Source organism: Homo sapiens, chromosome 18 (genome assembly GCF_000001405.40).
Source record: "Homo sapiens chromosome 18, GRCh38.p14 Primary Assembly".
Classification (NCBI taxonomy): Eukaryota; Metazoa; Chordata; class Mammalia; order Primates; family Hominidae; genus Homo; species Homo sapiens.
The window spans coordinates 13,117,529-13,143,778 of NC_000018.10; the positions used below are offsets into that span (position 1 = coordinate 13,117,529).

General features: G+C 47.2%; 1 protein-coding gene and 1 pseudogene across 21 annotated transcripts in view, besides 7 other annotated features; one reads left to right on the plus strand and one right to left on the minus strand.

Annotated features, from left to right (window-relative positions):
- The window catches only part of CEP192 (centrosomal protein 192), a 133,675-nt gene extending 126,167 nt beyond the window's left edge, over positions 1 to 7,508 (plus strand). For 15 of the 21 annotated variants that reach the window (XM_005258107.4, NM_032142.4, XM_011525673.3 and 12 more), the window contains 2 exons: positions 57 to 115; positions 7,104 to 7,508. In XM_005258107.4, the coding sequence (XP_005258164.1) occupies positions 57 to 115; positions 7,104 to 7,242 (198 nt within the window). In that variant the 3' untranslated portion in view covers positions 7,243 to 7,508. Of the gene's footprint in view, positions 1 to 56; positions 116 to 6,958 lie in introns of all 21 variants that reach the window. The other 6 variants (XM_006722326.4, XM_047437562.1, XM_047437564.1 and 3 more) reach the window with 1 other exon arrangement.
- Positions 18,151 to 18,730: an enhancer, noted in NCBI's record as "H3K4me1 hESC enhancer chr18:13135678-13136257 (GRCh37/hg19 assembly coordinates)". NCBI's record gives its function as "activates a minimal SCP1, AML or CMV promoter by ChIP-STARR-seq in primed H9 embryonic stem cells {active_cell/tissue: H9 hESC(primed)}" and the evidence as "EXISTENCE:reporter gene assay evidence [ECO:0000049][PMID:30033119]".
- Positions 18,731 to 19,309: an enhancer, noted in NCBI's record as "H3K4me1 hESC enhancer chr18:13136258-13136836 (GRCh37/hg19 assembly coordinates)". NCBI's record gives its function as "activates a minimal SCP1, AML or CMV promoter by ChIP-STARR-seq in primed H9 embryonic stem cells {active_cell/tissue: H9 hESC(primed)}" and the evidence as "EXISTENCE:reporter gene assay evidence [ECO:0000049][PMID:30033119]".
- Positions 18,731 to 19,393: a biological region, named in NCBI's record as "H3K4me1 hESC enhancer GRCh37_chr18:13136258-13136836".
- Positions 19,154 to 19,203: a silencer, noted in NCBI's record as "silent region_9329". NCBI's record gives its function as "represses an Ori minimal core promoter by ATAC-STARR-seq in GM12878 lymphoblastoid cells {active_cell/tissue: GM12878}" and the evidence as "EXISTENCE:reporter gene assay evidence [ECO:0000049][PMID:35858748]".
- Positions 19,274 to 19,393: a silencer, noted in NCBI's record as "silent region_9330". NCBI's record gives its function as "represses an Ori minimal core promoter by ATAC-STARR-seq in GM12878 lymphoblastoid cells {active_cell/tissue: GM12878}" and the evidence as "EXISTENCE:reporter gene assay evidence [ECO:0000049][PMID:35858748]".
- Positions 20,424 to 20,473: an enhancer, noted in NCBI's record as "active region_13113". NCBI's record gives its function as "activates an Ori minimal core promoter by ATAC-STARR-seq in GM12878 lymphoblastoid cells {active_cell/tissue: GM12878}" and the evidence as "EXISTENCE:reporter gene assay evidence [ECO:0000049][PMID:35858748]".
- Positions 20,482 to 20,776: an enhancer, noted in NCBI's record as "tiled region #6122; HepG2 Activating DNase unmatched - State 1:Tss, and K562 Activating non-DNase unmatched - State 10:DNaseD". NCBI's record gives its function as "activates a minimal TATA promoter and a strong SV40 promoter by Sharpr-MPRA in HepG2 and K562 cells {active_cell/tissue: HepG2 | K562}" and the evidence as "EXISTENCE:reporter gene assay evidence [ECO:0000049][PMID:27701403]".
- On the minus strand, positions 22,098 to 22,992 carry LOC646203 (MRT4 homolog, ribosome maturation factor pseudogene; annotated as a pseudogene).

Below are 26,250 nucleotides of genomic sequence, written 5' to 3' on the forward strand. Positions count from 1 at the left end.
TATGCTAAAAGATCTAATTTTCATAACTTTATAAAGTGTCTTCTATTAAATTCCAGCTGAAGTTTTTGAGTCCCAGAGAGCCATTCTATGTCAAACATTCCAAGTACTCTTTGAGGTAAGTTTATCGCAGATCACAGTGTTCTCATCAGCGATGCAGGACTTTCGTCTCTTGGGAGTTGGGGCTTGTGAGGTCTCCTCTGCTGCAGGTCCTCCATATTCCTCACCAGCACCAAACAGCATTAGGCAGAGTCTCCGCAAGTAGAAGCAGAGAAAAGGAGCCTGCAGGGGGACAGCTCCTGACCGTCCGTGGTGCACTCAGCGGTGCCACAGTGCACAGCATTTGGGCTGGTGTGACTCCTCCCACCCAGGATTTGCAGCCACATAAATCTTAGAGCTGTAATTATCTTAAGATTGACTTTTAGAGTAGTTCCTCTTTCAAATGTTATTTGCACTGGTATGCTGAGAGTCAAGGACTTAGATTTTCATTAACTGGGACAAAAACCTTTCCGAGTTAATTGGGAAAACTTTTATTGTGGTGTTTTCCAGTTGCCATTCTTTAGACACTCCTTACTGTTCTTAATCAGGGCCTCATTTTCTTGTCGCTCTTGCTAATTTTCTTTTCTATATGATGCACATTTAGGTTGAACCTCGAACTGGGTTGTCACTGTTATTTAGAACTTAATAGTTAGGGTTCTGTTGGGCTTAATGCTGAAGAATAATTTTAATTTCATCTTTGAATCTTTAAGTCATTTAATTATTGTAAAGTCTCTCATTTTAGCATTAGGAGACTATTCCAGAAACGTGTTCTATTCTATGAAAATTTGGACCACTCTGCAAACATTCTAGGCCTGCCATTTATGCACTTACTAAGACCAGCGGTGCTGTACAGTTGAAGCTCACAGCCCTGGATACTGGAAAGATGGCTCGATTGAGGACTGTTCCTTCCACCTTACTCTTTCTTTTTATTCGTTTATCTCTCACACCACCTCTTCCTTCTCCTATGGACTATAAAATGTTTTAATATGCTTGAGGGCTAAACCCTTCCTTTCCCTCCCAGGAGACTGACCTAAAGGCACAAACTATAGATTTTAGTTCTGAAAATTCAACAATGAATACATCTAAAAATTATCATAAACTTGATAAACTCTTTGGCCTCAATTTCCTTATTTGTAAAATGGAGATGCCAGTGCTAGCTACTGACAGCATAGAATTGTGAGGAATGTAAGAGACGTGGTAATAATGCCCAGACATAGCAAGCGTCAGGTGTTAACATCATCATCATCATCATCATTAAATCTCCCCTGTAGGTGACCTTGGCTGGCAGGATGCATCAACACTCACTCTACAGATTTTGATAGAACCTCATTTTATTATCAGTGTGTCTTCATTTAATCCCTATGACAACTACATAGAAGAGAAAGGCCCAAGTTTAAAAATCAGCCAAATCCAAGTTTTCCAACTTCTGTTCTCCAAGTTCTCCTCTCATAGTAGTCTGTGGATCTCCAGTTATTGTAGGCTGCCCCAATTGATTTGAGACTAGTGATGCTCTAGTGTGCGTAATAATAGGTTGGAACTACTAAAATACATGGTAGCACAACTGCAGAGGCAATTAGTTTATTCAGAAAAAGATCATTTAAATTTCTAATTGTTGTAACTGTTTTTAGTAACTGAGTACAAATAGATACTGAATAAATTATCCTGAACACTGTTATTATCTAAACTCAAATTTTATCATAACTGCATTATTCATTCTGCTTCCTCAGATTGGTTCACATCCCACATCTTCACCAGCTTTTTGCAGGGTATATTTTTAAACATGCAGTGGATCAATGGAATACTTCTGTTCAAACTGGCATACATCTGTCACAAATTGGAGGGACTTTAGATTTTTATTTCAAGGAGCTCTTCTTACCTTAAAAAATATATTTTTTAGGCTGGGTGTGGTGGCTCACACCTGTAATCCCAGCACTTTGGGAGGCCGAGGTGGGCGGATCATGTGAGGTCAGGAGTTTGGACCAGCCTGGCCAACATTATGAAACCCCATCTCCACTAAAACTGCAAAAATTAGCCACGCATGGTGGCAGGCGCCTGTAATCCCAGCTACTTGGGAGACTGAGGCAGGAGAATCCCTTGAACCTGGGAGGCAGTTGTAGTGAGCTGAGATCACACCACTGTACTCCAGCCTGGGCAACAAGAGTGAAATTCTGTCTCAAAAATAAATAAGTAAATAAATAAAATATTTTTAAAAGCTTCTAAACAAAGTTTCATTTAAAAAAATTATCTTGAAGAGTCTAGTACCAACTTTAAAAAAACAATATTTACCTATACCTCATCCTCATCTGTAGTTTTGATAAAGCATCATTATTTAAAATAAACGTGTCAAATTATGGCTTTATGTCACTGTTCTCCATTTTATGGCTAGGTATGAGGCAGTCAAAACTTTCCTGCAGTTAAACAGTCATTTTCCAACTTTCATTATTGAATACGTTGTCATTTCAAATTCTTTTTTGATGTTATATTCTTTGCTTAATTTGCCTTCACAGATTTTTTTTAAAGAATTGCATTTCTGCCAAAATTTGTGGGCCAATTCAGATTTGACTCTTTCCAGAGAAAGAACCTAAACCTATTTCATCACAATAGTGCTACAGATGGCAGAGTCTATTTCTGATATGGAGTGTAGGGACAAGACCAACTGAGTGGAAATCAGATAAGGGGATTTTTGAAAGATGCCTAAAACATTTTTAATGAGAAACTCAAATTTTATAAATGAGATGACATTTTGCTTAGCTTCAACTTGTGTTCTATAAACCACTTTTGAGATATGAAATGTGTTCCTTGCTGGTCATGTAAAAGTAGACATTTTTGTGGACGTTAACTTGTAGACTTGCCGCTCCAGTGCTTGAAATTAAGAGTCATAAATTACAGCCCTGCATTCCTGTGCAGCCTGTGTCACATTAATGGCATCTGAAGGAACTTAGAAACGTGAGAAAATATTTTTAAATTAAGCAAAATTTGGACAGTTCAATTAAGTTAGCATTTAAAATAGTATTGCAAGGTGCATAGTTTATACTCTGAACATATTTAAATCTTTTAAAACTTTAATGCTTTGAAGATAAATTTGAATGAAATAATTTTATACTCTATTAGTGGCGGACACTTAAGTTATTCTGATTATGGTGAGTTTCCAGAAAGTCTGCATCGATATTAACTATCACTATAGGACTACAGGGTAAATGCATAATAGTACTGATTTCAGCAATAGCTTTAATAGCAGCAGTTCATTGTAAATTTGGTAAAGTATGAGTAAGAAAATCATGTGTATAAAGCACTAATTCTGTGATCTGTTTAACTAAATGAACTAAACTCTGGGTTATAGGAAACTTTATTTTACGCAAAGAAAGGTGGAAACACTGGCTCCTTTGTAACAGAGAATGACCTGTGTTGACCTTGGAGAAGCAGCAGGACAGTAGAGGCAGATACCACAGGAACCCCAGTGACAGTTCTTACCACAGAACTGAAGTCATGGGGACTTACGGCATTGTGTGCTATTGTATTTGTCCCAGACACGAGACACTGTGACTTTAGACAAAGGTTCACAATACATAATTGCCAGATGAGAGCAGCAGTTAGCTTGCCTTGGCAGTGCAACAAAATCTGTGTTCTTAAAGCCCTGAGAAGCAATTCCCAGCCTTTAGTTAATCACATTTTTCATTTGTTAGATCACTGTGTGCTCTATGACACCATTAACTACACATTTCCAAAGCAATAATAGGATTGTAGTCATCTGTAGGGTACAGGAGATGATTACTTACAAATATGCACTTTTTCCAAGGCCACCGGAAGGCCTGGTGGGGCTGCTCTCCGAAAGCTCCAGCACTAGCACAGGAAAGTGGCTGCTCCTTACAGGCTGTAAGCTGATTCTAGCTTAAGGAGGCAGAAGAGTTCCCCCAAGAAGGTACAGGGGTTTTGCTCAGTGCAGAGGTGGGTGAACACGAATGTATGATAGATTATAAGTAAGGTTATAGGGAAAAGGAAACATTACTAACAGGTTTTCTTGTAAAGGTTCTTTTTTGAGGGTTCTGAGAGATCATCTCTTTCTTATATCTTTTTTAAAAGAATTTATGTTTCTACTTAGTCCCCAAAAGCATCTTTCTCTTAACCTATTATTTTATGACCATCTAACCCCAGCTGAGGTGTTGTAGCTAATAGGTTCCACCTCAACTGTGCCCTCATGTCCTTGCACAGTGCAAGGTGCACAATCCTGGCAGACCCTGCATGTCATTTGGGAGAGAAGGACAGTTCCTAGAAAAGTGACAAGCCAAGGAATAGAGTTATCATTGAGCTGCAGTGACTTCTCACCCATGTGTGGGAACAAATTTTATTACCTTTTTCAGTTTCTTTGATAATGGTGGTACCTTGTATGTGCTAGTGTACTGGCTTTTTTTCTGTGGAAACTGTTCCTTTAAAAAAATGTTTTGGGCCGGGCATGGTGGCCCATGCCTGTGATCCCAACATTTTGGGAGGCCAAGACGGGCGGGTCATCTGAGGTCAGGAGTTCAAGATCAGCCTGGCCAACATGTGAAACCCTGTCTCTACTAAAAATGCAAAAAGCAGGCCAGGCGCGGTGGCTCATGCCTGTAATCCCAGCACTTTGGGAGGCGGAGGCGGGTGAATCACGAGGTCAAGAGATCAAGACCATCCTGGCCAACATGGTGAAACCCCGTCTCTACTAAAAATACAAAAATTAGCTGGGCAAGGTGGCGCATGTCTGTAATCCTAGCTACTCAGGAGGCTGAGGCAGAAGAATCGCTTGAACTTGGGAGGCACAGGTTGCAGTGAGCCGAGATCGTGCCACTGCACTCCAGCCTGGCAAAAGAGCGAGACACCGTCTCAAAAAAACAAAGTAGCCGGGCCTGGTGGCATATGCCTGTAGTCCCAGCTACTCAGGAGGTTGAGGCAGGAGAATGGCTTGAACCAGGGAAACAGAGGTTGCAGTGAGCTGAGATCGTGCCACTGCACTCCAGCTTGGGCGACAGAGCGAGAATCCGTCTGAAAAAAAAAAATGTTTTGAAAGGAAGGAAGGAAGTGTGGTTGCTAGAATTTGTAGGTTCCACTAAGCCCTTTCCATGTAGATGGGGCCTGCAGGGAGTTGGGGGCTGAGTGTGCACAGCCTGATGGCCTCTCTGCTCCCTAGATGCATTTCTGCTCTGCGTGCCTTTGCAATTACATCTATCATTAGCTAGAGAGAGGATCTGAACTAGACCTCCCCACTGGGTTCAGAGGACTTTCCTGCTACCTTTTCCCGTGTGTGTGTGTGTGTGTGTGTGTGTGTAGAGATTAAATTAGTTCTCAATAATAGTATTACAAAGTACTTTTTAAAATATATCCATCTTGCTGGGAGTGTTCTATAGCTGTATTAAATGTTGTGGTTCTTTCTAAATTGCATTCCATTTTATTCAGTGTATCTGTAAATCTAAAGCAGATGATATATTTTTAATCACAATATACTTAAATTTTCAGGTTAATATAGAACAATTCTATATTCTGTGATGAAATTTATTAATAATGAGTTCTTCCAGAGATTTTTTTGGGGCTATTTTATTATTTTTACTAATTCATAAGTTATAAAGCCTCTTAAATAGGCAAATGGTACTATATTTATCCAAGTATTGACCACCAACATGCAAGAGAAAATTGTAGCTAATGCCATGGGCCAGGTTAGATTTTTTTTAAAAAGTACATTATCTTTGACATGGTAAAACAAATGTAATGCATTTGGGGAAAATAACCCAGACTTTAAATAAAAACATATAGAGATACACATACACACCTTTGCTCTATATAGATATATTTAAGAACATACACTATTTGTGTTATCAGTTATATCCAGGAAAAGGGCTTTGAAATACTGAAGCTGTTTTCTAAACCTCATGCCCGGTGTACTCTTGTGCACCCAAGAGCGACACTGCTGGGATTTTCAGGACAGATGCTGGAAACCGAAACGTACATCACTTCTGGTTGCCAGTCTTTAAAACACACAGCTCTGAGACGAGACTAAGGGGTGAAGTACCTTCCCTGTGAGCTCAGAACTTTCACTTAAAAACGCCTAAGCCTAGACGTTGATGACATCACATGGGCTGTGTGTAATGTGTTTGTAGCCTCATTCACACTGTGAATAACTTGTTAAATTGCATATTTTGAGGTGTATTTTGAAGCTCTTAGGACATAGTTTTAGGGACAAAAACAAACCCCCTAGAATACTGTTTTTAACCATAGGGCACTTGTTACCTGCCTCTATATACTGTAATCTGAAAGTAAAGTTTCTAGAATATTTTTGATGAAAGTTTCCGGCCGGGCATGGTGGCTCATGCCTGTAATCCTAGCACTTTGGGAAGCCAAGGCGGGTGGATCACTTTAGGCCAGGAGTTTGAGATTAGCCTGGCCGACATGGTGAAACCCCGCCTCTACTAAAAATACAAAAATTAGCTGGGTGCGGTGATGGGCGCCTGTAATCCCAGCTACTCAGGAGGCTGAGGCAGGAGAATTGCTTGAATCTGGGAGGTAGAAGTTGCAGTGAGTCAAGATCATGCCATTACACCCCAGCCTGGGCTACAAGAGTGAAACTCCGTCTCAAAAAAAAAAGGATCATATGAATTTTAGAGCAAAAACTGCACAGCCCATTAATGATAGGGTTGGGACAAGTTGTTTTAATCTTTCCAGTGCAATATGCTGTCTGGACTGAGTAAAACGGGCATTTAGGGTGTTCCCGAACCCTTTCTTAGGTAGATAGTTTTTGCAGGCAGTATACAAAGCTGTATGTATGATAGTTTAGACCTCTTATTTTCCTTTTTATATATTAATAGTTACTGGATAGCCAGGAATACATACGTATGCAATACTGTTTTAATCCAATTTTACGTTTTTCTCTCCTTTGTGTTATTTTCTCATTAAATAATAGCATCCAAGAAATCATAAATACATTTAAGCTGAATGTGGCTTGACCGAGCTCTTTCCTCAACACCTGAGCCAGGCACTGTGCTGCCTGGGACAGGGTCACGGGTGCTGTCATGACATGCTGCTGTCATGTGCCTCTCTCTTTCCAGAGCCCAGCATTACATCAACATGCCCGTGCAGTTCAAACCGAAGTCCGCAGGCAAATTTGAAGCTTTGCTTGTCATTCAAACAGATGAAGGCAAGAGTATTGCTATTCGACTAATTGGTGAAGCTCTTGGAAAAAATTAACTAGAATACATTTTTGTGTAAAGTAAATTACATAAGTTGTATTTTGTTAACTTTATCTTTCTACACTACAATTATGCTTTTGTATATATATTTTGTATGATGGATATCTATAATTGTAGATTTTGTTTTTACAAGCTAATACTGAAGACTCGACTGAAATATTATGTATCTAGCCCATAGTATTGTACTTAACTTTTACAGGTGAGAAGAGAGTTCTGTGTTTGCATTGATTATGATATTCTGAATAAATATGGAATATATTTTAATGTGGTATATCCAGAAATTTTTCAGTGAGCTTGTCTTTTTCTATGCTGTCATACAGAAATTAGAATATCACTTTATTCTGTTAAGTATTTTCCAGCTTCTGGGTCTGTTCTGTGATTTTTATCCTCCATCACACAGTTTCCTTTCTCCTCAGAAATTCCTTCTCTGTTCCTCTGTCGTTTAGCCAGTTGCCCAGAGTAGAAAGGACAACTTACTTTTCAAGCAGCTGGTTATTTTACTGAGGGGAAGTCTTCATAGTCTGTGCAAACACAGTGAAGGAGGTTCCCACGTTGTTATCTTGAGTCTTTACCTCTCCTCTGAGCTCACATACTCTATGTAAAGCTAGACAGAACAACTGCTGCAGAAGCTGGTACAGATGGGGTAGGTTCCAGCAGGATACAGGGAGGGAAACAGCAGGCCCCGAGAGCAGTCTGTGGTAGGCTTGAGGTCAAGGTGGTGACACAGTTTTACCCGGGAGGAACGTAGTTATTTATTGCCCTTCTCTCCATTATTAGAGAGTCTCCTGATGAAGCTTTGTGACCCCCAGCTCATTGCCTTTGACTTTGAAGCAACAAAATCCCAGATTGTGTAGTAGCTCAGGGATGATCACAATTGGATATTATGTGGAGTGGAAAGACCTCAGGGCTTGTAGAAAGCTGGCCGGAGGACTTAAACTAATTACAGTTTAAGAGCAATGATTGTGAGCTTGATAGAAAAACAGATCCCTTTTTTCTTCTTCCACTTCACTTTACTTTTGCCAAGTAATTTTTGCTTAGAAATCAAATTTGTAAAAACATTTTTTTCACAAGTTAAACAGGTGGTACTTTTACTGATACTGCTTGACTTCTGTTCTAGATTTTGTGCATCAAATATGAGATGACCTCATGCTTGAATTTGTACTTATTTTTCAACAGTCAGCCTTAAACATTTTAAAACCATGCTATTGCTTTTTAAGACTGTTTGCCATGGTCTTAAGTGTTTGCCAAGGTCAGTTTCTAGCAGTCATAATAGTTTCAATTCTGTGCAACTGTTACTTTGCCTTTCAGTTTATACTCAGAAGGTCAAAAAACAGGGTTAAATGATAAAACTGTAAAGGTGACTCTTATTTATTTATTTATTTTGAGACAGAGTCTACCTCTGTCACCCAGGCTGGAGTGCAGTGGCACAATCTCGGCTCACTATGACCTCCACCTGGGATTCAAATGATTCTCCTGTCTGAGCCTCCCGAGTAGCTGGGATTACAGGCGCCCACTGCTATGCCAGCTAATTTTTGTGTTTTTAGTAGAGACGGGATTTCGCCATGTTGGCCAGGCTGGCCTTCAACTCCTGACCTCAGGTGATCTGCCCGCCTTTGCCTCACAAAGTGCTGGGATTACAGGCATGAGCCACCATGCCTGGCCAAAGGTGACTCTTCTTTAAAAGTGACTTTTAGGGATCTGCAGTTTGTCCTGTGCCTCCATGATTTGGAAACATGATGCTTGGCATTTTAAGAGCACGTGGATATGAACAAATGATTTGTGCAACCGGTCGCCACTCCTAAAGCAAATGCAGACTACGCTGCCTTCAAGACAGCTGCCAACGTGAAAGAGCAGTGCCCAGGGAAGGTTGCAGCAGAAGCTTGGCTTTAGCAAGGCTTCTATCGGAAATCTGTCTCTGTTCTTTCCCATCCCTTCCCACATTGATGTATTGAGTCTCCACCTCTCTTCTGAGCTCCTGACTCTTGGGTCCAGCCAGATGTTTCCATTTGATTATCATGTAGGCGGCTCAAACTTCTGATTTCCCTCCCTGCCTCACGGGCTTCGCCTTGCTTTCCTCATTCTACCAACCCATTTCCTCACCCTCAAGCCCTCATGTTGTTCCCTCTAAATTGTGCCTCTAACAAATCCTCATCCGTCCGTCTCAGCGGTGGCCACAGCAGCCTGAGCTCAGTCATCTCTAAGGCCACTGCAGTCGTCTCCTCACCAGACCACCTGCTTGCTCTTAGCTCCAGAGCTTTCTCTCCACAGAAGACAGAGTTACCTTTTGAAAGAGGTAACTGCTCATATGTGAGGACAGTCGCTTGCACGTGGCATAAAGCCCAGATTCCTCCCTGTGGTCTAGAGGTCCTCAACCCCGGCCACTGCCGTCCTCCCTGAGCTCCAGCTGAGTGGCCTCCCTGCTCTTCCAGCCAGCTCGGTGCTCATGTCTCAGGTTCTTCCCCAGGCTTTGGTGTGGCCAGCTCTGCTTCTTAGAGAGGCTCTCCTGCCCCATCCAAGGCAAACTCCTCCTCCGCACATCACACTGTCCATTGTGATATGGCCCTCATGTCTGCCGCATGTGTTCCTGCTTGTTTGCTCTCCCTCCCGTGGAATGTGAGCTCTGCATGACAGGACACCTGGCTGGCCCTGCTCACCCGCATCCCCAGCACCCGGACAGCCTCGCGTGGCCTGCAGGAGTGTGACTGACCGCCCAGTGGCTCCGGTGCGTTTGCCACACTCTCCTGTTTTGGAAGGCTGTCTGCTCACCGCCCTGCTGCAGATGCCCAGCTGTTTCTCCCCACTCCCAGTAAACACTGTCTTAGGAGAGCCTCCACTCTTGCCCCAAGATTTCTTACCGGTTTCTTATGCGTCTCCAGGACATACTTCCTAGTAGTAACAGCTAAATGTTTACTGGTACCTCCCATGTGCCAAGCGGTGTCCTAAGTGCTCTGTGTCTGCTGTGGTACTTAATTCTCAACAGCTTTATAGAGATTGGGCTTTTTATGACGGAGGGACCTGAGAGTGGAGAGGAGGGACAGAGCCCTTCCTCCTATGGTGGTCCGTCCACAGTGGCATCTGTGGACAGACAGACGGATTTATAGGGGGCTGGGGCTGGGGCTGGTATGGCCCATGGAGTTGATACTTGTATTACGTAAAGAAAGTAAGGCTCAGAGGGGTTAAGTAATTAACCAAAAGTCACACAGTTAAAAAGTTTGAGCTGGGATTCAAACCTTGTTTTTTTCTGACTTAGGTACCCAGTTACAGATGGCAGAAACTGTTCTTAGCGTACAGAAAATGTAATATTAGTATATGGCTGCTTTTAAAAGTTTGTGTTTGGTTGTAAAGCAGCCCTAAGATTGTAAATCAATGTGTCCTGCCAGCTGAGATTACTGGAGTCCACAAGAGTGAGGATGCTTCTCTTGTCAAGCAGGTAAGACATTCTGCAGGCAAAACTTAAAGTTCTGTAGAGCTCAGTGATGATGAGTGTGCATCATTACTGATTTAATGAGTCCAGAAACAAGACCGTGTAAGAGGGCATCTGTTTTTAGTTTTCAGTAAAGGTTGGGATGATTTTATATATGCAATACATAGATTTTATGGGGGACAGATTTCTGGGCAGAATTACACTGGGCAGAATTACACAAGTTCACAACTGTGAACTTGTTCTCTTTCTTAACTAACATTCCCCCTTTTCAATTCAGTATTAATTTTTTAAATTTTGATACTTAACATGATAGATTATTTTATAGAAGGTTGACGAAAGCCTTGCTCTAAAGAGAAAAACTATTTTCCCAGCCTTTTCCTGAATTAGATCATTTTTTAATATGTCTTTTTCATTAATGAAAACCCACTTGTCAGTTCTCTTAAAGGTGCATTTCCAGGCCACTGCACGTTTTTGCTACCCAACTCGGTTAGGATGTATGGGTTTCATATTGATGCTTCCTAAACTCTCAGAGCAGATTCACTTGGCATCTGATAAATTTTACTCACTCTTTAACTTTTATGCAAGTTTTTGGGTTTGCTAGTTGGCTTTTATTGAATTTCAAAATGCCACTTTGCGAACCCCACAAACACAGGCCCAGCTTCTTGTCGGTTCACCTGTCTGGTGTCACTGCCATACACACTTAGGACTCCTTGCTCCACACCTCCTTCTAGGTCCAAAAATCCCACAGGACCACTTTTGGGGAAATTGTTTGATACGAATTTATTTTTCTTTAAATAAGGATTAGTTTGTTGACTTGTTTTGTGTTTTTACACTATTTCCTGTATTACCTGAGCATGGATAGGAGAATGAACAGATAACTATAAAAATGTTCAGAGCAATGCCATTCTAAAAATAGTTCCTTTGTAAATAGGATTATTAGAGTAAGAAATAGGCAGATGCCTAGGCAGCTTCTAAGGGGGCCCACCATGGTCCCCACGTGGCCTTGTGCAGTCCTTCCCTCCAGCCCCTTGTTTCCAGCCAACAGAAGGCCTCCACATTGAGGGAAATTTCACCTGCCTGATCCCATCACAAAAGATTCCAACTCTTACCTGGCTACCAGACCCTCAATAAAGCAAGCTGCCATCCCAGGGAGGGCCACATGGCAAGGAATCAAGTGAGGCTGGAATTGACTGGCAGCTAGCTGCGAACTGAGGCTCCCAGCCCAGCAGGCCAGAAGGAAGTGGATCCTGCTGGCACCAAGTGAAGGCACTTGGAAGTAGGTCCTGCCTCAGTCGGGCCTCAGATGAGACCCCGTTTCGGGTGACACCACACCTGCAGCCTGAGAGCCCACAACAGAGGACCCAGCTAAGCTGTGCCCAGATTCCCAATCCCAGATGCTGGAAAATCCATGCTTGTTGTTTGAAGCCTTGGCGCCTGTGTAAATTCGTTCCATAGCATCAGATAACTAACACAGTGGGTGTTTAATTAAAGAGAAACATCACTGCAGATACAACCAGCTCTTTGAAATCAGCCACCTTGGTGGTAAATAGTTGCTTATAAAAGATTGAGACAAGCCAACAACTGTTGATGTTTTGTGATTAAAAACTCTTTTAACCTTTAATAAAACACACACTCCCATCTTTTGTTTCACTTTCACTATTTTTTTTTTTTTTTGAGACAGAGTTTTGCTTTTGTTGCCCAGGCTGGAGTGCAATGGTGCGATCTCAGCTCACTGCAATCTCTGCCTTCTGGTTTCAAGTGATTCTCCTGCCTCAGCCTCCCGAGTAGCTGGGATTACAGGCACCCACCACCACGCCCAGCTAATTTTTGTATTTTTAGTACAGACAGGGTTCCACCATGTTGGCCAGGCTGGATTCTGACCTCATGATCCGCCCACCTCAGCTGCCCAACGTGCTAGGATTACTAGGATTACAGGCGTGAGCCATCGCGCCTGGCCACATTTTTAATTTTATGCCTCGGTGTAAACGTAGGCGCACTGGTAAAAGATCCTGTAAGTTAAATACATGCCAATGTAAAGGAGTAGAAGGATTCGGAACTTGGGGAACAGTAAGGGAGATTATGGAAATGAAAGTAAACGTGACCCATCTGGTCTTTAAGAGATTCGCTTGTCAAGGTGGGAGAGGGGTGCAGTGAGGATGCTAACACCCCTCAAAAGAGAACCCGACTCTGGAGGCTGACAGCCAAGGCCTTGGGCTTTGGAGAGTGGCACTGAGTGAAGGTAGAGTTGAGCAAGTGAAGCCGCGGTTGGAGCCAGAATCCTCCCTGGTGTGTTCATGACAGTTCTCATCCTGCTGTGTCCTGTACCCACCCAGAAGATGCACAGGAGCACATGTCACTGGCGGGTAGGTTCTGTGAGCATGTTGGCATGGAGAGCCAGGCCAGGCAGCCCTCTTCCCAGTATGACTTAAGAGGGGGAAGGACTCCCCCAGCCCCATCCCCACTGGGTGCAGCCAGATTCTGCTTACGTTTTGGTTGCCCCATGAAATCGCCCTTCTGTCGAATCAGTGTGAGGAGAGGCGGTCATTTATGCCTTGCCGTGCACGAGACGCTGAGGCAGGGCAGGGAAGGAACGCACATCATCTGAGCAGACTCCCAGGGGCGTCCTCAGGATGTGTCCCACGTGGACAGAAAGGCTGCTGGGAGATCTGGGGAGGGTGCAGAGGCCAGGCCTTGCCATATCACAGTTTTGCAGAGGCCACCTCTGTCTGTGCGACGTGTACTTTTTCAGTCTTGGAAGTTGGTCTTCAGCAGCCACCCTGGCCCTGTCTTTATGGAAGTGTCTAGAGAGCTCCATGTGCTCTGCTGGTGGAGCCTGCTCGCCCTCGTCCTGTGTCTCTGCAGCCTCGTTTCCCCTCACTTGCTCCTCATGTCACATCCGCCCTCATACCCCTGGAGTGGGGCAGCTTCTTCCCAACTTGGGCCCCATCACCTCCTGTCTTCTACCAGGACACCTTCCCCAGCAGGAGGATGTCTCCTTCCTGCCTGCCAGGTCCTCAGGGAAGATGGCCCACCCACTAGTGAGGAACTGCTGGACGATTCTCTGTTGAGCGTCTGTTCTGCTGATTAAACCAGAAGTACCGTGAAGTAGGGACCAGGGCTGTGGTCACCCCCAAAGCCTTGGTGCCCAGAGCAGAACCAGCGTGTGGTGGGGCTCAGACCTTGTGAGAAAATGGATGCAATGTCCAGGGAGGCCTCTGTGTCTTTAGGCAATGGAAATGTCAAGAGGATGTGGACACTAGTTTAACATAGCAGTGCATTTATATTTCAAGCCAAACACACACCATGTGAGTGAAGAGACGCTTAAAACTGAAGTCGGGAGCAGGCCAGGACTGTTCACCACAGCTGCATACCACATGGCAGGAGGGGCCTCTGATGGCCACCTGGCCCTGGAGGACGGGAAGAGATGAGCTGCGAAAGATCTGAAAGAGGGAAGCCAACATGTCATTCACAGCTGACTTCATTGTTGATAGGGAATTCCAAGAGAATTCCTCCTGGAAATGATAAGCAGTAAGAGATGTGTACCTAGGAATGCGACGGTGCCTAATTGATACATACAAATCAATAGTCTTCCTATACATAAGGAAATAATGAACGACCAGAAAACAGCGGAAGACAAAACAGCAGAAATAAGTTTAGAAATGTGTGAAGTGTATACAAAGGAAACTGTCAGGTTCCTCTGGAGCACATCGGAGACTTGAGTAGGAGTAACTTACCGGACTGCACTGGGGGCCTTCTTCCGTAGCATGAACAGCACCCATGAGTGGGGATGGGGCTGGGGCCGCACCAGTCCAGGCAGCATTTCCCCCAGTGGAGGGGGAGCTCTGCAGGTGCCCAGCCTCCCACGCTGTTTCAGTAGCTTGTTAGGAACTCTCCCAGACACGGATAGTGGCCCAGCTGCCCATCCCTGCCGTCACTGGGTCTGAGCGTGGCCTGTCCTTTGTTTAAATCCTACATTTAGCTGGCCGGACTCACACCTGTAATCCCAGAACTTTGGAAGGCCGAGGGGGTTGGATCACGAGGTCAGGAGATTGAGACCATCCTGGCTAGCACGGTGAAATGCCGTCTCTACTAAAAATACAAAAACAAAATTAGCCGGGTGTGGTGCTGGGCGCCTATAGTCCCCAGCTACTTGGGAGGCTCAGGTGGGAGAATGGCGTGAACCTGGGAGGTGGAGCTTGCAGTGAGCCAACATCGTGCCACTGCACTCCAGCCTGGGAGACAGAGTGAGACTCCATCTTAAAAAACAAAACAAAACAAAAACAAAAACACCCTGCATTTAGCATATATCTATATTAAGATTTTACATGTCTTTTTAACTGTGCCAGAATTTTATGAGGGTTGGTATGGCAATTTTTCCTTATTTTTTTTTTTTTTGAGAGACAGGATCTCACTCTGTGACCCAGGCCGGAGTGCAGTAGCACGATCATAGCTCACTGTGACCTTGAACTCCTGGGCTGAAGTGATCCATCCTCCTCAGCCTCTCTAGTAGCTGGGACTACAGGGGTGCACTACCACACCTGGCTGATTTTTGTATTTTTTGTAGAGAAGGGGTCTTGCTATGTTGCCCAGGCTGGTCTCAAACTCCTGGGCTCAATGAATCCTTCCAACTTGGCCTCCCAAAGTGCTGGGATTACAAGCATGAGCTACCGCTTTGGCCCAATTCTTCTTGGTGTTAGTTACAAAGTTGCATAGATTTTGAGTAGTGAGCCCCAAACTCTCCTTTACCCATTAGCCCGATTTTACCTTGGGACTGTGAAGCTTATGAGGAACGCATATTTTGTGTTAAAGTAGAAGATAACAATAACTAAAGCTGTCAATTCTCCCTAAACCAATTTCTACATTTAATGCCATTCCAATAATGATAGCTACAAGGTGTTGATTCAAGTAGAAAACTGGTTCTTAGGTTGGCATGGTGGTGCCAACAGGACAGCCAGGATGTGCTGCAGAGGGAGAGTGATGGCATCTGGTTCTCCCGGGCCCACCACACAGGATGTCACTGTCAGCCTCCTGGTGCTGACATCAAGGTGAGGAAATGTGTGCTCCCTCGAAGAAATGGTGGGAGCCTCCACCTCGTCCTAGGCTTTCTCTCTGGAAGAGACCAGTCCTCAGGATTCACATGTGTCATCTTCTGCTGGTGGTCCATTTCTGCCACGTTTTGTGGTTGGGTTTAATTCAGGAGGGAAGCTATTACGAAGAAACATGGCAACAACTAAGCTTGTATGTCAGCCTCTGCCTGCTGGAATCCCAGGTCTTCTCTCAGTGGAAACTCGTGGAGCCACATGCAGTCCTAACAGTAATTAAAGCAGCCTGGGTGAGACTGGCTTATGAAAAGATCAGTGAAACAGAATGGAATCCAGAAAGACCCAAATACACACAGAAATTTAGATGGTAAGTGGCAACACTTCAGTGAGAAAGAGATGGGTTAGCCCAAAATATCTTCCAGGTGAATCACATGTAGAAATAAAACAGAGTCCCAGAAAAAAATATGGGAGAACAATTTCAGTTACTCATTTCCAATTAGAAACAAAACTGAAATTTTCTCTCACCAGCACAGCATATGAGTTGTCAGAATAGCCAGGTAGCTTCACACAGGAATGTCAGCTTTGCACACGAAGTGTGTTCTAATTTGGTGTACACCGTGAGAAAACGGAAGCTGAGCAAGCAAAACAATGTAGTTATCTTCTGGGCTGGTCACCTTGGAGGTCCTCTGTGAGAAAAAGACCTGGACAGATTTCTGTGGTCGTTTTGTGTCCGGAATTGGTGGGCTCTTGGTCTCACTGACTTCAAGAATGAAGCCGTGGACTCCCGTGGTGAGTGTTACAGTTCTTAAAGGCAGTGTGTCCGGGGTTTGTTCGGATGTGTTCGGAGTTTTTTTCTTCTGGTGGGTTTGTGGTCTCGCTGGCTCAGGAGTGAAGCTGCAGACCTTCACGGTGAGTGTTACAGCTCATAAAAGCAGTGCAGACCCAAACAGTGAGCAGCAGCCAAGATTTATTACAAACAGCAAAAGAACAAAGCTTCCACACCCTGGAAGGGGACCTCAGTGGGCTGCCACTACTGACTCGGGCAGCCTGCTTTTATTCCCTTATCTGGCCCCACCCACATCCTGCTGATTGGTCCATTTTACAGAGAGCTGATTGGTCTGTTTTACAGAAAGCTGATTGGTCCGTTTTGACAGGGTGCTGATTGGTGTGTTTACAATCCCTGAGCTAGACACAAAAGTTCTCCAAGTCCCCACAGAGCACTGATTGGTGCATTTACAAACCTTGAGCTAGACACAGGGTGCTGATTGGTGTGTTTACAAACTTTAAGCTAGACACAGAGTGCTGACTGGTGTATTTACAATCCCTTAGCTAGACATAAAGGTTCTCCAAGTCCCCACTAGACTCAGGAGCCCAGCTGGCTTCACCTAGTGGATCCCACAGTGGGGCGCAGGTGGAACTGCCCGCCAGTCCCGCGCCCTGCGCCCCGCACTCCTCAGCCCTTGGGCGGTTGATGGGATAGGGCGCCACGGAGCAGGGAGCGGCGCTCGTCCGGGAGGCTCGGCTGCGCAGGAGCCCACGGCAGGGGGGAGGCTCGAGCATGGGGGGCTGCAGGTCCCGAGTCCTGCCCTGCGAGGAGGCAGCTAAGGCCCCGTGAGAATTCGAGTGCAGCACCGGCGGGCCAGCACTGCTGGGGGACCCGGTGCACCCTCTGCAGCTGCTGGCCTGGGTGCTAAGCCCCTCACTGCCCGAGGCCGGCCGCTCCGAGTGCAGGGCCGCCAAGCCCACGCCCACCCGGAACGCGTGCTGGCCCACGAGCGCAGCGCACAGCCCCAGTATCGCCCACGCGTCTCCCTCCACACCTCCACACAAGCACAGGGAGCCGGCTCCGGCCTCGGCCAGCCCAGAGAGGGGCTCCAACAGTGCAGCGGCGGGCTGAAGGGCTCCTCAAGCGCAGCCAGAGTGGACGCTGAGGCCGAGGAGGCGCCAAGAGTGAGCGAGGGCTGCCAGCACCCTGTCATCTCTCAGGTTTTAGCTCAGGGCTGCTGTCCAGCACCCGCTCTTGCTTGGATACTTTCGGTGGTGTGGCTGCTGGTTACTGTATTGCACGACAAATGTTTTTCCCTCTTTCTGTTAGTTTAATAGCAATCTTAAGCCACCTAATTGGTTTTAAATGTTTCCAGTTATTTAGACCATGAAGAAGGCCATTGTTTTCTTGGGTGCTAAGGAGGGTGATGTGCCAGTTCCCTTCCAGAGCCTAAGCCTGAGGCTACCCCTAAAACTGATTAAAGATCAGTTACTAAAATATGTTAATCATGCAAAGATGACCAAGAGAATAAAATTAAAAAGGTGTAAACAGTATGTATAGTGTGATCCTTTTCTGTAAGGAAAATTACTCATGTTGGATGCAGGTGCACCAAGAACACTTCAGGGAACATCTGCAGGCAGAGAAAGCAGGGTGCCTTTGGGAAGGCGGATGGCAGGATGTTTATTGTTCACGTTATGTCTATCACGTTTGATTTTTGAATAATATGTATTATTTCTGTGGTCTGAAAAGAGAAGGTGGAGGAGAGAACGAAAGTCAGAGAATATAACCAACCCAACACACCAGAAGCTAGTGAAGCCCTGTGAATGGCTGATCCCAGGTAAGTTCCCATGTGCTAAGCTGGAATCAAAAGTGTGGGGTCTTCATGGGGCCGGGTGCATGCACAATTGAGTGGATCTGCTGCCAGCACGTGTTGTGTTGTGCCTGCACTTGGCGTGGCTGCACAGGGCTTGCATTGGTACCGGGCTAGGGCGGTCGTGGGGAGGGCCTGGGGAAGGCTGACTAGGGCCTCCACCGTGGGACCCAAGTCCCCAGACCTGGTTGCTTTACTGTATAGTCACAAACCAAATGGGGGTGCAGACGTTTTATGTTGGGCAACAATGGGGGAATCAGGTGGGTGTGCCCCGGCATCCTTGCTCCTCAGTGCGCAGGGCCCTCGAGTTAAAAGCAAGCGTCCCCGCGGGTGGGGATGGTCCCCTGGCGGCTCTCGGCTACACCTTCCTGCCCGGCTTCCCTGCGAGGCGGGCGGCAGTGGAACTCATTCCACAAAGGCTGCCTCTCACTGTGGCCGCCGTGTCACCAGCCAGAGCTGTCAGGTACGTCAGTCATGCTGCTTTGTGGTCATGTCACTGGCATAATCCCAAGATTAGGTGGCCACAAAGAGCCATGAATGAGGTGGTAATTGCGTTCAAGGGAAAAAGAATTTAAGAAAAAAAGACTTTACTTTCTCACAAGATTCGTGAAAGAAGTGACAGCTAATATTTTAAAGCTGGAGCAAGATAATTGTGGTGAGAGATCTTTGTGTGTTCTCTGGAAAATGCTGCATGCGCACAATGAATATTCAAATGCCATTTTGCGCTGTGAATACCAGATCGCCGGGCCTGAGGCCGTCTGCATGGGCCGTCGGCGGAGTCGGCCCGGCGGGCCGCGGGAATGAGCGGGCCACACGGAGGGCCTGGGCGCGCTGCTGGGGACGCCGGCTCCGAGCAAGAGGACAGCCGCCCCTCGGGAGTCGCTGGGAAAGGAGTCAGCGCCGGGCAAGCAGCCTGCAGCCTGTGCCAGGGAAACCTAGTCAGCCGTGCTCGGCTGGGGGGCTCGCTCCGCACTTTCGGTGCCAGAAAATGCCCAGAGGAGCGGGGCGGCCCCAGAGCCTCCTTTCGGGGCGCGAGGCCCGGCGCGTGTGTACGGAGTCCAGTCCCCCCAGGGAGTGGGGTGCCCGCACCTTCCCCTCCGCGCTCGGAGCCACAGGGGAGGCCCGGGCAGAAGCGAACCGTCGCCACCCTGGCGGGGCCTCGTGACTGCGGGTGCAGAACTGGGGGTCCCCGCCGGCGCGTGTTTCAGGGGTCCTGAGGCGCGCGTCTGCGGGGTTCCCAGGCAGCACCAAGAGGCGCCGGCCTAGGAGAAATCCGGATCGAGACAACTGCTGTGGCGGCTGGGCCGAGGCTGCGGTCGCGGTGGGAGGCGGCGCTGCTGGCGAGTCCACGCGGGGCGGACGGAGGCGAAAACAGCCCGCTTTCGCGGCGCAGGCAAAAGCAGGAATGGCGACCCCTCTGCGGGGGGACCTCAGGAGGAAACGTCTGGCTTGGGGAGTCCGCGCTCGGCGCGAGCTGTGGGGGCGGCCGGGCGCTCTGGGGGCAGTTCGGTGCTCCGAGCTCAGCCTCGTCTTGCTTTTCAGGGGTTGGAGGCGGAAGGGGGCAACGGAGCGAGCCCACTTCCGATGCACAGAAGCGCAGGTGGGGAGGAGGCCCGGCTGGGGAGGCTGGTCCCCGCCGCAGCCCCGCTGCCCCTATACCTTGGCTCCAGCGCCAGAGCTCCGCCGCTGCGCCCCTGGCTTTTTGCCTCTACCCCCTACCCTCTGCCGTCCCTCTCCTCCTAAAGCCAGTCCTTCCTGTTTCTCCTGGGGGCTTCCCCAGGGTGCTCATATATGTCCCGGCACCCCCGCTCTGGCGTAAAGAAAGGGCACCGCCGCAGGGCGGCCTGAGTTTAAGGGTCTGTCCACCAGACTCATGGTACTTTACCGCTCTGTGCCTCAGTTTCCTCATCTGAAAAGTAGAGCTCATATTAGCCCTGGGGCCTTGTAGGTGGTGAACATCAAATGAACTCATACAAGGGAAGGGGTCGTGTTACCGGTAGAGGGTCCTAACTGCAAGTTGTCCAGGTTGGCGTTTTGAACAAAGAATTGGACAAAACGTGCTGCAAAGCAAGGAAAAAAGGAAGCAACTAAAGCAGGGATTTATTGAAAACGAAAGTAGTCTCCACAGTGTGGGAGCGGCCTGAGCAGGCTCAAGGGCTGCGTTATACAATCTTCTCGGTCCAAATACCCGCTAGAGGTTTCCCATTGGCCACTCATGTGCTCCCTTCATGTAAATAAAGTGGTGGCCCATAATCGGTCTGATTGGTTGCGGAAAGCAGCCAACCAGAGGCTGAAGTGAAGTTACAAAGGTCACACTCCTGCGCAAACATCTGATTGGTTGCAAAAAGCTAACGTTAAGAGGCTAAAGTGAAAGTTACAAAGTTGGACTTCTATGCAAAGGAAGACTGGTGGCAATCAGTCTGATTGGTTGTGGACAGCCAGTTTCCCTTCGGCCCCACAGAAAAGGTGGGGGGTTTGCAAAGAGTAACCTCTGGTCCTTTTGTTACTTAGGCGTGGAAAGTTAAGAGTTTTCCTTTCAATATAGTTCTAGGAAGTCCGCGTGAAACGGCCTTAGGTGATCTGCCTCCATACCCTATTCTCCTGCCTCAGACCCGTGAGTCCTAGAAAGGATGGCCATCGCTGGCCGCCACATCATCGGGGTCTCATGAATCCCTGCTCTTGTACCTCGGGAGGCAAGGCTAGGCTGCCCTGGATTAGGATCTGCTGTTTGGAAGTGCCGTGTTCTGTTTTGGTTGTGCTCCTTTGGTTGTTTGGTGGGAGTTGGCGGGGCAGGGGCAGAAAGTGGCGCCCCTGGAGAGCCGCGGGCCCAAGCACTGGGGTGCAGCCCGGCTGTGAATCCATGCATTGAGCCGCCGTCACCTGCCCTGGTGTGGGTGCCTGTGTGTCTTGCTTTGTGGTCATCCTGGTTGCTCCAGCACACAGGTGTCTAATCTTCAAGGCAGAAAGAAGACGTGGTCACCCCCCAACCCCTAGACTCTGTATGTGTATGCAGTTTTCAGAGTGTTGTCTCAGGCGCTGATTGAGTGGGCAAGGAGAGGTGCTCAGCACGCAGGAACTGCAGCACCAGACAGGAAGTCACCAAAGAGGGAGTCCAGGTCAAAAGGGACTTGGAGACACAGCAGAAGCAACCGCAAAGTCTGAATCCTGACTCGAACAAGCCACCTGGCAAAAGACATTTTGAGACAAGAGAAATTGAAAAACTGACAAGGGGTTAGTTATTAAGGGAGTACTGTTAATTTTGTTGGGCGTGATAATGATAATTTTTTAAAAATTTATTGGCTGAGTGTGGTGGCTCATGCCTGTAATCCCAGCACTTTGGGAGGCTGAGGCGGGAGAATCATGTGAGCCCGGGCGTTTGAGACCAGCCTGGGCAACATAGCATGACCTCAGCTCTACAGAAAATTTTAAAACCTAGCCAGGCATGGTGGTGCTGCCCGTAGTCCCAGCTACTCAGGAGGCTGCAGTGAGCCATGATGGCCATTGCACTCCAGCCTGGGTCACAGTGAGACCCCGTCTCAACAAAATAAATAAATAAATGAATGAATAAATAAAATGTCCTTATGTTGGTGGAATACAAAGAATCAAATACGGATAAAATGATGTGTTGTCTTCTGGGATTTCCTTTAAATACTCTAGCAAAGCAATAGACAAAAGCTGGGAGGGGAACAATACATGAAGCAAAACTGAACAACGCTGGTAATTTTTTAAAAAAATTTTATTTGACATCCTGCAAAGCTTTATTCTTTACAGGAACAGTCAGTGCCCATCACTCCCTGTCAAAAGCCAAATAAGCTGCTCTCTCTAGAGGAGTGGCAGTAGTCCTGTGTGGTCCAGTGAGATCCAGAAGGTTCCAGGAGACCTTCAGTCCTGAGTCCCTTTCAGTCATCATCGTCTGAGTCTTGATTCTTCTGCTGAGTTGGATGAGCTCTCTGGCAGGTCGTCTCCCATCTGCTGGACCCTTCCTGACTGTACATCCCACATGTATTTGATGGTCACCTTAAATTCAGCCATCTCATACCCAGAAAGCATCAGAACACCAGCCTGCTCCGGGGCCAGCAGGTGGCCCTCCTTGCACACCTCATTGTCGGACAGCAGGGTCACCACACCTCTCTCAAAGGTGGTGGGCAGGCCCGGCTGCCTCAGCTGTGGCTTCATGGGGTGGGGAACTGCTCCAGGGGCCCTGGGTCCAGGCTCACGGTGAAAGCTGCTTTGTTACAGCTCAGCTGAAGTCCATTTCCGTGTATTCTGTGAACCACTCATTCACCTCCTCCTTCCAGTGGTTGGTGAACAGGAGATCCGCTTCACCCCTCAACCTTTTGCTGACCTGGTGCAGGTTGTCTTTGCACTCACCCAATGGGCTCCGACCCAAGGCCACCATCATCACCTTGTTTTTGCCAAAGAACATCCGGCTGTGCTTCCAGGCATTCCGGATGTCCTTCAGCTTGCTGTTCCACGTGTTGGCCACAGAGAGATGGAAAGGTACTTATCAGTGTCCACACGTTTCCGAAGCTCTTCTATCAGGTGTTGTTTCAATTCCAGGCCTTTCTTGGCAGTTTTGGTTAGGGACTTCCTTGTCATGCTTGGATTTGGGCATTGTTCTGAAGCCACGTGTGGTGGAAGATGGTGCAGCCCCAATGCTGGTAATTACTGATGGCAGGGGGTGGATGTGTAGGGCTTTATATTATCTCTCCTCTACTTTTGTGTATGTTTACTTTACTATTTATTTTATTTTATTTGAGACAGGGTCGTCTTGCTCTGTCACCCAGGCTGGAGTCCAGTGGCTCAATCTTGGCTCACTGCAACCTCTGCCTCCCAAGCTCAAGTGATCCTCCAACCTCACCCTCTTAAGTCGCTGGGACCACAGGTGCATGCCACCACCCCCGGCTATTTTTTTTCTTTCTTTTTTTTTTTTTTTTTTTTTTTTGTAGAGACAGGGATTTGCCACATTGCCCAGGCTGGTGGTGAACTACTGAGCTTGAACAATACATGCTGGGATTAGAGGGATGAGCCACCACATCCAGCCACTTTTGTGTAAAATGTTGGCTGGGCGCGGTGACTCATGCCTGTAATCCCAGCACTTTGGGAGGCCAAGGTGGGCAGATGACTTGAGGTCAGGAGTTCGAGACCAGCCTGGCCAACATGGCGAAACCCCGACTCTAATAAAAATACAAAAATTAGCCAGGCGTGATAGTGCACACCTGTAATCCCAGCTACTAGGGAGGCTGAGACAGGACAATTGCTTGAACCCAGGGGGCAGAGGTTGCAGTGAGCCGAGATTGCGCCACTGTACTCCAGCCTGGACGACAGAGCGAGACTCCATCTCGATAAATAAAAAATAAATAAATAAATAAATAAATAAAATGTCTGCAATAAAAAATGTTTTAAGTCAAAGAGTAAGATCACAAAAATAATACTCAGATATAACAAGTTTTTCTTCTGTGACTCATGTGAAGGACTCCAGAGGCCAGGATGGTGGTGAGAGCCACTTCCTCCATGTGGCATGTGGGTTGCCCAGTGCTCCAGGCCTGCCCCGCCTCGGGGCCTGGCACCTGCTGCTCCCTTGGCCTGGAATGTTCTCACCCAAGACCCCTGCATCTGACTCTCACCTCCTTCCTTGTGTGTTCCTCGCGTGGCTTTTTCGTGAGGTCTTCCTTAACTTCTCTGAATAAAACTCCCACTTCTCATCCTCCCAATCCCTCTCCCCTCTAGTTTGACACCAAAGTACCTTTCACCCACTGAGGTCCTGTGTGTCACAGAATGAAACTGTAGGGGCAGGGTTTTGTCCTGCTCACCAACGGATATCCTTGGACATTATGTATGTATGTATGTATGTATGTATGTATGTATGTATGTATGTATGTATTTCTGTTTGTTTTTCTTTTTTTTCCTGCTAAACAACCAAACAGGCAAAACCTAGCACAGCGGTTTGTTTTTTTTTTTTTTTTTTTTTTTTTTTTTTCTGAGGCAGAGTCTCACTCTGTCACCCAGGCTGGAGTGCAGTGGCGCGATTTCAGCTCACTGCAAGCTCTGCCTCCCGGATTCACGCCATTCTCCTGCCTCAGCCTCCCGAGCAGCTGGGACTACAGGCACCCGCCACCACGCCTGGCTAATTTTTTGTATTTTTAGTAGAGACGGGGTTCCACTGTGTTAGCCAGGATGGTCTCGATCTCCTGACCTCGTGATCTGCCTGCCTCGGCCTCCCAAAGTGCTGGGATTACAGGCGTGAGCCACCGTGCCTGGCCAACCTAGCACAGTGTTTAACGGTGGGAGGTCCCTGGTGAGTCTCTGCCAGGTCTCGGGTTCCAGGCTTCTGTCAGATGCACCGGCCGCCTAGGTTCCCAGGGCCTTCTATTCTTACAGCAGGTGGCCGCCATGCTTCTGACATTTCCCTGACACACAGGCTGCCTCCAGGGCCATCGCCAAGGACGGTGCAGATTTGCAGGCCTGCGTAAACCCAGCGGACTCCCTAGAGGTTTGGGAAGGAGAGGTCACCATTGTTGGCTCTACTGTGACTGTCCTGACTTGGCCCTCACTGGGTATTAATGCTTCAATTTCACAATGCACTTGGGCAGATGCCCCCTGGTCCTAAGAGAGGCCCCGCTCATCCTAGGCATACTTAATTGGTATTAGAGACGTCCATCTTTTCTGGATGGAGGAAATTGAAGCCTTGAGCCCATGTAATGTTCTCAGTGGAGCAGTTCAACACCAAGACATGCTAGAAACATTGTAGAGGCCTTTACCAACTTAGTCACCCTGCTCAGGGAAAGGGGCTGAGGCTGTCTCTACAGCAGCCACCTCCCTCTGGAAGGAGGAAGGACCCAAGACCCACACCCGCTGTCTACCCAACCAGCCCTAACTCTTCTTGTTGGCTCAAGAGTCCCCTTTCTTCTTCACTGAGCCACAAGACACAGAGCAGTGAGTAGCATCAGAGCAGCCTGTAAGAACCTGGATGCCAGGAACGGAGTGGAACCTGGAAGTTCAGCTTCCAACAGACAAACACAGTCAGAGCTCCCTTTTTAGAGTCCCTCCTGTGTAAACACACAGGGCATACAGGCATGACTTCCAGGAGCTTCACTGCAGCATGGCATGCACAGATAACACAACAGAAGTGACCTCAGTGCTGCTTTTGGAGGACAGATGACACGCATCTTGGTTCATGCAACTCAACACCGCACACATGTAAAATAGAATGAGTAGCTTTGTGTTGTGATATAAAAATGTAAGCTATATTATTGAGTGAAAAGCCAAATTGCCCACCAGTATGCAAAGCAGATTTACTCTTATTAGAAATGGAGGCTGAGCATGGTGGCTCACGCCTGTAATCCTAGCACATCAGGAGGCCAAGGCGGGTGGATTGCTTGAGGCCAGGAGTTTGAGATCAACCTGGGCAACACGGCAAAACTCCATCTCTACAAAAAATACAAAAATTAGCCTGGCCCAGTGGTGCATGCCTGTAGTCCCAGCTACTTGGGAGGCTGGGATAGGAGTATCAATTGAATACAGGATGTGGAGGCTGCAATGAACCAGGATCACACCACTGAACTCCATCCAGTCTGGGTGACAGCAAGATCCTGCCAAAAAAAAAAAAAAAAATCTAGCAGAGGACAGAGGAGTGTATACAGATAAACAAATGCATATTGTGTTTGCATCCCCTATATTAGTTTTCTATTGTTGCATAACAAATGATTACCCAAACACCAGGGGTTTGGTCTAGGTCCTGCTGCTCACAGCACAGAAAGCCAGTCATCAAGACAACCAGTATTGGCAGGGAAGAAAGCTTTAATCGGGTGCTGCAGCTGAAGAGATGGGAATTCAGTCTCAAGTCCGTCTCTCTGACTATCTAAAATTGGGAGTTTATATAGAAGGGAAGAAATGTAACTACA